The following is a 15,018-nucleotide window of genomic DNA, read 5'->3' as shown; positions in this document are numbered from 1 at the left end:
CACATCAAAAGCTGTGATACTGGGGAAAACTTAAAGGATTGCCTGATCCTACAGTATAAAATTGAAAATTATACTTTCTGTATTTTGTTAGAAATTAGATTGGTTGCAGAACTGCCTGGAAAAAGCACCATATGGGGTTATCTATAATCCTATAAACCATAATTCTGTGAATTGCATGAAGTTGTTCCACAATAAATACCTTTTTAAATTCATCTTCTTTATCATGAGTATCAAACTCATTCACAATATTAGCTTCATAGTCATTGTTTTCACCCTCTCCTGTTTCACTTCCAAAAACAACGTGTTTCCGCTGTTCTATAGACAAAAGACAAAACAAAAATATAACATTTGACTTTTTAGCATTGTCTGTATTCTACATGGCCAAATCCTCTTAGGAAGTTCCTTTTTAAAAAGCTCTTACTTTTAAAACTGTTTTTTGAAAAATGCTTTTCGCATTTGTTCCTCTAGGAGTCATCCTTGAATTCAATTTAAATTATCCACCTCAATAGAATTGTCATTCTACTAAGAAATACACTCTGTAAATATACAATCTAGAATTCAGAAAAGTTTTAAGAGAGTTTTACCTATTATCTTTGTAAATTATCTGTCTATCTTTTGAGTTTTCCAACTTGACTGAAATAATATTTTTGTGTTTTTGACGCTTGTGATGAAACTAATTAAACTAAGTGGAAAAACTCTAAGAGGAAAGATGTGATGTGCATACTCATTCTAGGCTGAGGCTTTCTCATCCTCAGCACTACTGACATCTTGGGTGGGTCAATTCTTTGTTGCTGGGGGCTGTCCTGTAGGATGTTTAACAGCATCCCTGGCCCTTATCCACCAGAAGCCAGTAGCAACACCCACCCCCTCCCCCCCGGCCACCCCCAACACACACACACACTGTGTGACAACTGAAATGTCTCCAGACCTTGCCAAATATTCCCTTGGGGGCAAAATCCCTTCCAGTCCCATTAAGAACCACTGTTCCAGGCACAGTTTTCTCTTTCTCTCTCTCTCTCTCTCTCTCTCTCTCTCTTCTTGCTATGTCACTTTCATGGGATCTCTGCTTGACTGGAATGTTCTCTCACTCCAAAAAGCCAGCTTCCCACAGATTCCCTACTTCAAATATGTTGGTAATTAGCTAATTAACTTCATCCCTGTAAGGCAGTGCCATCTCTCAGGTCTCCTTCGAGAGTCTGGGTGGCACACTCTGTGTCAGTGACCTACTACTGGTGCAGTCAATGGCTAGCCTTGCTCGAAGCCAGCCTCACACTACTTCCCTGAGCAGCAGCTGGGGAGAAGAGCAGGTGCGTAGTAAACAGGGATCGTGACTGACAGGCACATCCCCTTACAATACTAACAAGTAAAACCTCCAACTACAAAGTTTTACCTAATCAGTTCTTATTTAGAGCTTGAAAACAAAACTTTAAAATGAAATATGTCTTTCTCTTCCAATTTATCCAAAGATTTGTTATATCTAGGACAGGACAATAATCTGAGCAAAGCTAAAAGTCCCGTGTTCTTAAACCATAATCTAGGAAGCAAAACACTCCCCTACTAGGGAATCTTTTCTTAAAATTCCCTGCCCCTGATAAAGGGGATTCAAATTCAACAGCTTCTCTCTCGGGCTTATTAATAAAACTGAAACTATTAGAACCTATTGAGATAACAGGAAATTCAATAGGGTAAAAATTATTTCATCCACTTTAAATAATGCAGGCACCTTGTCATACAAATTTGCCTGAACAGATGTGATGAAGTAAGGAAGTTTCTCTTAGTCCCAGTCAAGCCAACTGAATGAAGGTTATGAGGGTGTGGGCAGAATCAAAAGTTAGGAGCCTTTTAGGGCATCCTTTAATCATGGGAGGGGGAATGGATGGTGGAGAATACATGCTTCCATATCATGTTTTCTTCCTTGAGAGTGCACTCTTCAACTGGGTACCATTTATCTGTACCCAAACCCCAAAGATAGTTGTAAGTAGGAATTCATAGCTTACTCTACACAGAGAAGGATCTAGGAAAAGAAAAAAAAAAAGTCTTAAAACATGGTTTCACCCAGATTAAGTTTTCCAGATTCAAGAAAATTATAGAATTTACCTTTTCCTGGTTTATGTTTCTCAAAAAAAAAAAAAGTAAAATAAATCAAATAGTCAAAGTGACTTGATAAGAATGCTGCACCAGAAAAAAAAAAAAAAATAGAGTTAGCATAGCAGGCCTGAGACTGCTATCCATAGGAAGGCCAACTTGCAACGCTGGACCGGGGTTGGGAACTTGGATTTGAGAGGGGTTCCCACCATTCCCGAACTAACAAAAAGAACTCTCTGGGCTTAAACTGTTGGTACAAACAATGTGATTTATGCTGAACACCTTCTTTGCTTCTGGGGAAGGGAGGGTCTGGAATTCAGTACCTGCTAAGCAGAAGGTGCTTACATAAGAACGAATCTGTAGATCTTGTAATTCAAACACAGTAACGAGAAAAGTTACCTGACTGTTTTCCTACTTTCCCAGTGTATTTCACTTCATAAATCTGCTCAAATATTGATATAAGTTCTCTGACAGCTTCTTCCACATGCTTACTTTTGTGGTTTAGAATGTCAGCCCATTCTTTTGTGTATGTCTGTTAAATAAAGAAATGACTATTATTTTCCAGATACTTAAAAGTAACACTGTGAAAATTAGTCCTATGACTTTAATTTATAAAACTATAATTAACTTCACTTGAAAAAAAAAGCTAGAGATAGCTGAAAATGGCATAATGCTTCAGATTCAAAATTGTCAATGGCTAAAAGCATAGCTGCTAAGGCCCAAAGAACAGCAGAAAGATGAAAAAGTCCATCTTTGACCTATCCCTGACTCAATCACACATAGAAATCTACCTTGATATTCACATAGGTGAAAAGAAAGAAGGCTGAAGGGGTGGAGAGAAGATGATGCCAGAAGTTGAAACTGAGATGTGGTTTCAAAAGAAGACAATCCAGAGTATTGGTTTGGAGAGTTAAATTAGATAAAGTTTTTAATTGAGCATGGTGTTGTATAACAGGCATCAATTTAAGAGCTTTACACATATTAACTCATTTAGTTAAACACTGATCTTGGGATGAGTAATGGGGTGAGTAATATTATGGTCCCCATTTCACAGCAGAGAAAACTGAGGCTCAGAAAGAGTAAGAAATTTTCCCAGGTCACACAGTAGTTGGAAAAACTATTTGAAACCAGTTTTGTCTGATTCAAAATGCCTGCACTTTGTCTTTCTAAACTCTTCTACTAGCAAATGCTTTAGGAAGAAGTTGAGAACTAGTCAAATTCAGAAAAGAAAACTAGTTTATAAAGTTCAATAAGTCTTTTGACATGCCCACAAAATACACTCATTTTAGGACAAAGAAAAGTAGTTGGATGCAGTGTCTTGTGCCTATAATCCCAGCTACTCAGGAGGCTGAAGCAAGAGGATTGCTCATGCCCAGGAGTTCAAGGCTGCAGGAGCCATGATCGCGCCACTGCACTCCAGCCTGGGTGACAGCACAAGACCTCATCTCTAAAAAAAAAACGTAAAAGTAAATCAGGGCCGGGTGCAGTGGCTCATACCTGTAATCCTAACCCTTTTGGAGGCTGAGGATGGAGGATTGCTTGAGCCCAGGAATTTGAGACCAGCCTGGGCAACATGGCGAGACCCCATCTCTACAATAAATTTTTTAGAATTTTGCCAGGCATGGTGGTGCGTGCCTGTGGTCCCACCTACTCAGGAGGTTGAGGCAAGAGGATTGCTTGAGCCCAGGAGGCAGCAGTGAGCCATGTTCACTGCATTCCAGCCTGGGCAACAGAGCAAGACCCTGTCTCAAAAAAAAAAATGTACATAGGAGCAGCCACTTTGGGCCTTCAAGAACACAACTGCAGAGGATCCCAAGTCTGTCCATGCAAACTTCTCTCCAGAAAAGCCTTGGGAAGTCCCATATTCCCCATGTTTTGCCCCCATGTGTTATGTGTTCCTTTCTTGACTGTCTAATCTGTATCTGAATGCATTCTCATCATTTTTTAGTCCCAGGAGACATGGTGTCCCTCCTTCTATCCAAGGATATTCTGTGATCCTCTCCACACCCACCGACTCTTCTGACCTTGCTCCATCATTCATTCAGTTTGTCCTTTTCAATTTATTCAATGCAGTGCTAAACACTGGAATGGTAACGGAGGCTGGAAGCCACTTCAGTCTAACAGGGAAAATAAGTGTTAAGCAAGTAGACAATTCCAGCTGATCATGGCAGATTGGACATATGTGTTTATACATCCCAGCTTTGAAATCCCCTCAGGAACCAGACACACTAATTAACTTGGCAGAATGAACACACATGTTTATCTTGGCATCCCCATGATATATCCAGAAACCTCGACAAAATAACATACAGTAATCTTTTGAAAAGAATATACCCACAAAACAAATGGGAGAATGTCATACAAATTTTTCCATACGTTTCCAATACCATATAATAGTAAAGTTAATGGGATTAACAACTGGTACTGGGACAACTGAATATCCACTTGCAAGAGAATGAAACGGAACCTTCTCCTTACACCATACAAACAGATTAGCTCAAAATGGATTATAGACGTAAAATTTCAGAACTAAAACTAAAAAAAACTCTTAGAGGAAAATATAGGCATAAATCTTCATGACCTTGGATTACGCAAAGTTATCTTAGATGTGACACCAAAAGCAGAACAACAAAAGAAAAAAATTGATAAATTAGACTTCATCAAAATTAAAAACTTTTGTGCATCAAAGAACACCATAAAGAAATTGAAAAGAAAACCCAAAGACTGGGAGAAAAAAAACTGTAAATCATATATCTGATAAGGAACTAGTATCTATAAAACATTATTACAACTCAAAAATAAAAAGACAAATATCCAATTTTAAAATGAGCAAATGATCTGAATACCTACTTCTGAAGGAAAGCATACAAAAGGTTAATAAGCACAGGAGGCAGGGCACGGTGGCTCACGTCTGTAATCCCAGCACTTTGGGAGGCACTTGAGGGGGAGGCAGATCATTCGAGGTCAGGGGTTTGAGCCCAGCCTGGCCAACATGGCGAAACCCCCTCTCTACTAAAAATACAAACATTAACCGGGCATGGTGGCACATACCTGTAATTCCAGCTACTTGGTAGGCTGAGGCAGGAGAATCGCTTGAACCCAGGAGGCAGAGGTTGCAGTGAGCCAAGATGGCGCCACTGCACTCCAGCCTGAGGGACAGAGTGAGACCCTGTCTCAAAAACATAAAAATAAGCACATGAAAGATGCTCAACATCACTAGCTAATAGGGAAACATTTGTCAAAACCACCCTGAGATACCACTTCACACTCACCAGGACAGCTGTCACCAAAAAGACAAATAATAGCAAGTGTTGGCATGGATGTAGAGCAATTGGAACCCTCATACATGCTGGTGGGAATGAAAAATGATACAGTCACTTTGGAAAGCATCCTGGCAGTTCTTCAAAGAGTATAACATGGAGTTGGGAGCCAGTAATTCCATTCCTAGGTATACATACCCAAGAGAAATGAAAACTTAAGTCCACAAAAAAAAAAAATAGACACTTATGTTCGCAGCAGCATTCTTTACAGTAGCCAAAAAGTGGAAACAACCCAAATGTCCATCAACTGGTGAATGGATAGATAAAATGTGGCATAACCATACAATGGAATATTATTCAGCAATAAAAAGAAATGAAGTTTTGTGAGACAGGGGAATCGCTTGAGCCTTGGAATTAGAGGCTGCAGTAAGCCATATTCACACTACTGCATTCCAGTCTGGGTGACAGGGCAAGACATTGTTGTTTCTTTAAAAAGAAAAAAAAGAAATTAAGTTCTGATATATAGGCTACTATGAATAAATTTTGAAAACACTCCACTAAGAGAAAGAAGCTAGTCACAAAAGAACATATATTGTATGATTCCATTTGTATGAAATGTCCAGAATAGGCATGTCTATAGAAGCAGAAAGGAAATTTGGGGTTGCCTTGGGGCTGGGAGGGTTGAGAGGAAATGGAGAATGACTAATGAGGACGAAGTTTCTTTTGGGTGATGAAGATGTTCTAAATTGATTGCAGTGATGGTTGTGCAACTCTGTAAATATACTGAAAAGCATTGAGATGTACACTTTAAATGGGTGAATTGTAGGGTATGTGAATTTTATCTCAATAAGGCTGCTAAAAAATAATAATTTGTGCCAGAAATAATTTGAGCCAGAAATTGGGGAAACAAAAATTAATAGGAGATGGGAAAGTGAAGATAGCATGTGCGAGCATTTGGAGAAGTCTGGTTGTAAATGAGAAGCAAAGGAAGAAGTGGGAAAGTGTCTGTCGGCAAGGAAAGCATGAGAGCATATGATACTGCTGGAGAGAAGGACCCAGTGGAGAGGACAACGCTGAGGATACAGGAGAAAGGAAAACTGGCGGAACAAGGTCACCGAGAAGACAGGTAGGCATGGAATCAACAGCCCATTTGGAGGACCTCAGTTTTGAAGAGAGGTGGAAACTTTCTCCATAGAACCCAAAGGAAGGAAAAATGGATGCAGCAGCAGTCAGCAATGTGCCAAGAGCTCTGATTGTGGAAATTATTTACATGATTTTAATTATGAATAATCCCTGTCACTCCATCAAAGCCATATTGCCAGACACTCCATGTCCTGCCAACCATTCTCTACTTTTCTCTGCCACGCCCTACGTTGTGGGACTCCCTCATTCTCTGACTTCCAGTTGGGTTTAACCCAAGAGGAGGCACCAAGAGAAGACAGGAGAGCTATAGGAGAGAGAAGGTGGGGTATTTCTTTCCCATTCCCTCCTTGCTTGGAGGCTGCATCTCTGGTAGAGCCCTGCCACATGGCTTCAGCTTTTACTGGGCTCTGAAAGCACAATTTTCTTCCCTGGTCCCTTCAGCCCTAGTGGTGGTGATGACTTCCCACCACTGGGACTCCTGCGGTATCTCACCCTGCTGGGATCTTCACTGATACTGTCCCATACACAATCCCTGTGCCTCAACTCCAACCCTGTGTCTGAACTCTGATCAAAGAACACGTGCAAAACAAACTTCATTAATCCTTGCTGAATTGGGCCACTTCAGATAATCACAACGACCCACACTGCCATCAATACCAAGGGTAAGAAACTTAGACATACACATTCCACTGCACAGATGTCCTGTGTCAGCTGGCAACCCAATGGCTCAGCCACCTTCCTCTTATGTTCAACAAGTGGCAAAATAATGTCACTGCAAATACTACCTCTATAACACGTCATGAACAGTTGAGGCCACACAAAGTAAAGCATCCTGTCCTAATAAGGACTCCATCTCTTCTTGAGAAGACTCGCTACTCCTTGAGGACTAAGACCATTCTTAAAACTCAGTAAGAAACAGACTGAATACTAAAGAAGTGCCTTAGGGGTACGCCAGGGACTAGGAGACAGTTATATTGATTTTTAAATTTTGTTTTAATTAAGATATAATCCACATTCTACAAAATTAACCTTGTGAAGTGTGTAACTTACTGGTTTTTAGTATATTCACAGACTTGTGCAACCATGACCACTATCTAATTCCATAATATTCTCATCACCTCAGAAAGCATCCCTATACCCATTAGCAGTCACCCCATTTCCCCATCTCCACAGCTCTGGCAACCACTAATGTGCTTTTGTCTCTATAGAGCAAAGTTGATTTTTTTTTTTTTTTGAGACGGAGTCTCGCTCTGTGGCCCAGGCTGGAGTGGACACGGTCTCGGCTCACTGCAACCTCCGCCTCCCAGGTTCAAGCGATTCTCCTGCTTCAGCCTCCCAAGTAGCTGGTGTAATGCTAAAGGTTTTTGCCTTAGCCAAGCCGAAGAATTGGCGTGGCAGCTGCGAGTGATGGAGACACCGACTAAGAGAAAAAAAGCTGTAGGCTTGATTGAGCAGAGTGACAGTACAAAGCTTCCACAGCGTGGAAGGGGTCTTCAGCCGGTAGCCAGCGTTACCTTCTTTGATCACTTTTTAAACTTTTTAAGGTGGGAAATATGTGCAGCGGGGAGATGTTACTAGAGTGAGAAACAAAGACAATTAACATGTCTTAGATCTTGAGGAAAACCTGAATTGCAACTTAGGTTTCATCTACTTTATGACTTTGCAGCGGCGTAGTAAAGGAGACAGGATCTCACAGTATTTTTACAAGGAATTGGAATTGGAAGCATAGATAAGGTCTGCTGGTCACAAACAAACGGGCAATTAAAATTCCTTTTAGTTTCAGGGGAGGGGAAAGGGAGAGAGGGAGAGAGGACACAGGGAAGCTTACAGCAAAATTTTCACTGTTTATAGCTTTCTTAGGGAAGAAAACATGCACAAACCCTGGTGTTAGGAATATTTTAAGCATATATCTTCACTATTATTTATCTAGGACTAAAGTAAGGCTTGAGGCAGGAAATGAGTGAGTTTCACAGCTTTCTGAGCCTTTACTCGACTTAAGAAGCCTAGCTGGCCTCTCCTTTCACTGGGATTACAGGCATGCACCACCACCGCCCCCCGACTAATTTTTATACTTTTAGTAGAGATGGGGCTTTGCCATGTTGGCTAGGCTGGAGTCAAACTCCTAAGCTCAAGTGATCCACCTGCCTTGGCCTCCCAAAGTGCTGGGATTACAGGCATGAGTCACCGCGTCCAGCCCCAAGTTGATTTTGTTGACAGAATTGCTAATACTCATTAATTATTTAACAGTGTTTAACTTGGATCATAACATTTCCTTGATTTTCTATTCCATTGGTAGATCTATCGAGACAGAAGTTATCAGTTAGGCTCCAGTCAGGAAAACGGAAGACACACCAGCTATTGTAACAAATAAAATTAGAGAATTTAATATGGAGGATGGGTTAAACACAGTTAAAGTGTACAGGACAAGCCGCAGACAAGAACCCCTCAGACACCGAGTTGTGGAGGGAAAGGGCTTTATTCAACTGGGAGCATCGGCGGGCTCATGTCTCCAAAAACCGAGCTCCCCGAGTGAGCAATTGCTGTCCCTTTTAAGGGCTTACAACTCTAAGCAGGTCCCCATGAGAGGATTGTGATTGACTGAACAAGCAGTGGGTACGTGACTGCGGGCTGCATGCACCGGTAATCAGAACGAAACAGAACAGGACAGGGATTTTCACAATGCTTTTCCATACAATGTCTGGAATCTATAGATAACATAACCAGTTAGGTCAGGGGTCGATCTTTAACTACCAGGCCCAGGGTGTGGTGCATGCTGTCTGCCTGTGGATTTCATTTCTGCCTTTTAGTTTTTACTTCTTTCTTTGGAGGCAGAAATTGGGCATAAGACAATATGAGGGGTGGTCTCCTCCCTTAAAAGGACCCAAAATGCTTACAGGGACACTGACGGCACACAGAGATATAACAGTTACAGCAGGAAGAAGCTAGCATCCCTAGGACTTGGGATGAGGATGGAGTTATTAGAACCTGGAGCAGAGAAGTGAGGGGGCTGCCCAGCCAGCACTGCTATCTCAGGAGCTCAGAGAGGGACCTCATGATGCTGGTACCGTGAAAGGCACACGGGGCTGGCTCTGGAAGGGCTGGGAAAGCCAGGGCTGTGACTAAGTGCTGTTGGCAGAGTGAAGAGTTGTTGTGGGTGCAGTAGTGTCAGGAACAGGAGGCAAATCAGGAAAGAGCAAGTCCCTTCTCTCTCCTCCAGCATCCTTCTAGCACACCCATTGGTAAATCCTAAAAGGGACCCAGCTGGCCAAGGAGGAAAGTACTATCAGCCCTAGGATCACAGGACAGAAAGAACAACTGGAAACTAACAGAAGAAAGCTTTTTAATAATTCGCATAATCTGTCCTAAACCACCCTTGGATGCGCCAAGACAAGGAACACTGCCCTGACTGCAAATAGCCCTGATTCCCAAATACGATCTGAAACCACAGTTTGGCCCAAACCAACTTTGTCTCAAAAAATTAATGTTACATATATTGTGTTTCCAAAACTGATTGCAGTCAGGAGTGTGATCCAACTTGCCCTGTCATTACAAATCATACTCTGGCTTCACTATAACGCCACTTGCTGGTAGGTTTGTGAGAAGACAGCCCAACTGTTACTAGATCTTAGATCACTCCAGGGCAAGTGACTGGGCATACTGCTTGACAAGCATGCTCTTCAGAATTCTGCCTCCTGCATCTTGACTTACACTCTTTTTTTTTTTTTTCTGAGACACAGTCTCGCTCTGTCGCCCAGGCTGGAGTGCAGTGGTGAGATCTCAGCTCACTGCAAGCTCCGCCTCCTGGGTTCACGCCATTCTCCTGCCTCAGCCTCCCAAGTAGCTGGGACTACAGGCACCCGCCACCACACCTGGCTAATTTTTTTGTATTTTTAGTAGAGACGGGGTTTCACCGTGTTTGCCAGGATGGTCTCGATCTCCTGACCTCGTGATCCACCTGCCTCGGCCTCCCAAAGTGCTGGGATTACGGGCGTGAGCCACCGTGCCCAGCAACTTACACTCTTGAGTCTTAGCACTACCACTGGAGAATTACTGTATAATTGGTAGAGAGTTTTAGTTTGAGATGATGAAAAAGTTTTGGAAATAGATCATTGTGATGGTTATACAACATTGGGAATGTACCTAATGCCACTAAATTGTACACTTAAAATGGTTAAAATGGTAAATGCTATGTTAGTATATTTTATCACAATAAAAAAGTTGTCAGCCAAAACAAAGAGTGGGGAGTGGGAAATGATTTTTAAAACTTAAAGAGATATTTCAATCAAATGTAATGCGTGAACTTGTCTGGCTCCTAGTTCAGAGACAAACTCTAAAAAGACAATTTCTATTAAAGCTAAATATATTCATAATCTATGACTCAACAATTTCCCTTTGGGGTATATATCCACCAAATTAGTGCTTAAGTCCACAAAAAAAAATTTACAAGAATTCTTAGTATATAACCAAAAGCTATAAACAATCTAAATGCCCTCAAGAGTAGAATGAACAAATAAACTGTACTAAATCCGTATTATGTAATACTATACAGCAATGAGAAGTTGAAATGAAAGAACGAATGTGTCACAACTGCAAAGATGAATCTCATACATATAACACTGAGCAAAAGAAGTCAGAAATAGAGAATATATTCTGCACCATTCCATTTACATGAAGTTCAAAAACAGGCGAAACTAATATACAGTGATAGAAGTCAAATGGTGATTACTTTTAGGGGTGGGAAGGAAGTGTAACTGGCTGGAGTAAAGCACAAAGGAATCACTTGGGATACAGAAAGTGTTCCATATCTTGATCATGGAGACAGTTACAAGGGTGTATCATATGTAAACGTTCATTGAATGGTGCACTTAAAATTTGTGCACTTTTCTGAGTATATGTTACATCTCAATTTTTTTAAAGCATAGAAACTAAAATAAAAAGCAACCTGAAACCATAGCTTCTATGGGCTTTGTTTTTTCATAACCAAAAAAAAAAAAAATTAAGGCCTTGGATCCCTCACAAGGGTGAGAGGCTAGAAATGAGACCTACCCCATCCCCACCCTTGCTTAATATCAGGTAAATCAAGGGCTAGGCCCTCAGGGAAAGAGTGGACGAGAAAGGAAAGTCAGCTACCTTGGTTGAGGCTCTGGGCTGGCGGGGAGCAAATTCTCCCTTGGGAATTTACAACTAGTTTACCCTTACATAGGTTTGGGGCTTGAGTTTATACAATCTATGAAGCTTTAGAAATTCTATCCTCTGAGAAACCAACATAAAGTTGTCCCAACTTGGTAAAACTCCTAGGCATCACATAGAAATAAATAAAAAGAAACAGGTTCTCAACCAAGGCTGTCCAGCATTCCCACAAATAGATGTGTGTGCATTAGCTCCCAATCCAAAACTGTAAAAAACAGGAAGAAACAAGCCACTCTGGGCAAGAGTTGGTAGAAACAGCACAGAGCAGAATTAGACTCCCCCATTTTTTTCAGATAGTGAAATTATGTTGTAAAATATAAAATATTTTTTAATGTCTAAAGAAAAATAGAATAAAGACATGAGAAAAAGATCACATATATTTGAAAAAGAATATAAAATAACATCTAGAAATAGATAAGTTAATAAATTTTAAAAAGAGGGCAGGGAGTAGAAGTATTTCCAAAAATATTAATTAATAGTTACAATTAATGTAAATAGGTCAAAATTACCAGTTTTTTAAAAACAGACTTTCAGAATAGATTAAAAATAAAACACAGTTAAATGTTCTTTACAAGAACAAAATCTAAAATAGGAGAATCCAAAAAGGACGAAAGTCATAAAATGGAAAAAGACACATCTGAAAAATAGTAACCTGAAAAAAGCTGGTATAATTACATCAATATCAAACAAAATAACTTAAGGATAAAAAACTTAATAATGATAGAGGAACACCCAATCCAGAAGATATAATCATCTTAAACTTGAACACACCAAGAACAGGATGTTAAAACGGGTCATCTCACAGGCAAGGTGGCTCACACTTATAATCCCAGCACTTTGGGAGGATGAGGTAGGAGAATCACATAAACCCAGGAATTCTAGTCTGCAGTGAGCCATGATCTTGCCACTGCACTCCAGGCTGGGTGGCAGACCTCATCTCAAAAAACTAAATTAATTAACTAATTTAATGTAATGGGTTGTTTAGTGTTGTCTCAGTTATAGTCAAGACCCCAAAACTGAGAACAAATAATTTTAAGGCTGGGCATGGTGGCTCACACCTGTAATCCCAGCACTTTGGGAGGCCAAAGTGGGTGGATCGCTTGAGTTCAGGAGTTCAAGACCAGCCTGGGTAACATGGTGAAACCCTGTCTCTACAAAAAAAATGTTTTTAATTAGCAAGTTGTGGTGGTATGCACCTGTAATCTCAGCTACTTGGGAGGCTGAAATGGGAAGATCACTTGAGCCCAGGAGGTCAAGGCTCCAGTGAGCCATGACCACACCACTGCAGAACAACCTGAGTGACAGAGCAAGACCCTGTCTCAAAAAAAGAAAGAGTTCAGTTCAAAACATAAATGTATGTCTTGAATTTATAAGAGAGGTTGCATTATGTGCTGGTCCTTGAAAATGTTTAGACAGGGTTCCTGTCTTTGTGCTTTTGAGTCAATGGAGGATAAACAGGTATCTAAATAGTTTCAACATAACAATGCTGAAGAGGTTACATTTTATCCTGCAAGGACTATGTGCCACTGCCAAGAAGGATTTAAGCTGGGGCATTTCACAATCAGATTTGATGGCAATGTGGATGGATGTGTCAGGGTAAACATGGAAGCAGCGAGACCAGTTGGATCACCAAATGAATTGCTAAAGTCAAAATGAGCAGTAACGACCTGACCTAGAAAGGGAAAGAACAGGCTGAAACTCAAGCAAAATCTAAGTAAGAAAAAAATCCTAGGCTGGGAGTTGTGGCTCAGGCCTGTAATCCCAGCACTTTGGGAGGCTAAAGCTGTGGATCACCTGAGGTCGGGAGTTCGAGACCAGTCTGGCCAACATGGCAAAACCCCATCTCTACTAAAAACACAAAAATTAGCCGGGTGTGCTGGTACAGGCCTGTAATCCCAGCTACTTGGGAGGCTGAAGCAGGAGAATCACTTGAACCCGGGAGGCAGAGGTTGCAGTGAGCCAAGATCACACCATTGTATTCCAGCCTGGGTGACAAGAGTGAAACTTCCTCTCAAAAAAAAAAGTCCTGGCTAAGCCTCTCAGGACTGGCTGGATATAGGAAATGAAGGGGTGAGGAAAGAAGTCTAGATGATTCCCAGGTTTCTGAGTGACTTAGAGGGAAAGTATGTTGGAGTTAAAGCCATGAGAAAAATGATATGGCCCTGGTAGCCATGCACAGTGGAAGAGAGCTGTGAACCACTTACAGAGCCCCAGGAAACGCCAGCATTAGGCTGAGGATATCAACAAAATGTTAGTCTAGGTTGTGGCCAGGGCTCTTGCTATTGAAGGCATGAAAGTCCTTGGAGCAGAGAATGTTCACAAAAAACAAAAAAAAAAAGTCTAAATGCTACTGACCCAGGTTTCTACTTTTAGACTGAAATTTCACATTTTAGGTTTATAGGCCAATATTTTTGTGATTCTAATTTAATGAACAAATGCATACCTCATTGAGGGTCAACATATCTTCTACTTTGGTAGCACCACTTTCAGGCAGAGAAATCAACACAGTTTTGGCTATCTCCTTCAGAACTGTATCAATATGCATTTCACACAAGTCACTGATCTACAAGGAAGAAAAATGTAAGAAAAAAAAACTCTTCTTTCCTTTAGAGCTAGGTTTTCATCCAAAAGAGGCTTGAGTTATAAATTAATTTAGAAGGCTAAGTCTAGAAACTTGCATCTTGAGCCAAGCATAATTTGGTGAACATTTTAGGAGGACATCTGCAAAGAAAGCTTGACATAAAACTAAATTTTTCTTGAGCAATAACATGTGCCATAACCTTATTTGTGTTATCTCCTTTAATCCTGATTCCAGCACAGGAGGCACTGATATCCCAGTTTTACAACTAAAGACACCAAGGCTCTGAGAAGTAAAGCAACCTGGGAAGGAACACATAGCTAGTAACAGGCAGAGAATCCTACCCAGGTTTATCTAACTCCAAAGCCTCTGAGTTTGTTTACTACACCATGCTGCCATGACACACAGACCAGCACATCTAAAATGACAGGCTTGTTCTATGTAGCCAATATGTCAGAAATCAATAGACAATCTTCAATTTGATGATCATCTCATCTAGTTAATATTAAATACATTAATATTAATATTTAAGCACTCTCCTCTGCCACTTTTGACAGTCTATAATTACCCCATATTCTAAGCTACAGTGTGAAGTTGAACCATCATTTCAACATATTAAATGCAAGGTAATTCAGGGATAAGAATAAAGCAAACTTAAATGAAGACCCCAATCCAGTAAAAGAAATATAAAGTTTTTTGTTTTGTTTTTTTTTTTTTTAGACGGAGTCTTGCCCTGTCGCCCAGGTTGGAGTGCAATGGCAT

At 40.7% G+C, this 15,018-nt stretch overlaps 1 protein-coding gene across 10 annotated transcripts in view; it reads right to left on the bottom strand.

The window, feature by feature from the left end:
• Window positions 1–15,018, bottom strand: part of DNAH8 (dynein axonemal heavy chain 8) — a 315,482-nt gene that overhangs the window by 224,997 nt on the left and 75,467 nt on the right. For all 10 annotated transcript variants that reach the window (XR_926078.3, NM_001206927.2, XM_011514319.3 and 7 more), the window contains 3 exons: window positions 14,122–14,241; window positions 2,485–2,617; window positions 200–315 (listed from right to left, as the gene is read on the bottom strand). Coding sequence is in view for 9 of the 10 variants with exons in the window: in NM_001206927.2 (NP_001193856.1) it covers window positions 200–315; window positions 2,485–2,617; window positions 14,122–14,241 (369 nt within the window). In the remaining variant the exon portion in view is untranslated. The remainder of the gene's footprint in view (window positions 1–199; window positions 316–2,484; window positions 2,618–14,121; window positions 14,242–15,018) is intronic.

Source organism: Homo sapiens, chromosome 6 (assembly GCF_000001405.40).
Source record: "Homo sapiens chromosome 6, GRCh38.p14 Primary Assembly".
Taxonomy (NCBI): Eukaryota; Metazoa; Chordata; class Mammalia; order Primates; family Hominidae; genus Homo; species Homo sapiens.
Note: the sequence above shows the minus strand (reverse complement) of the source record. Positions and strands in the feature narration are given on the sequence as shown.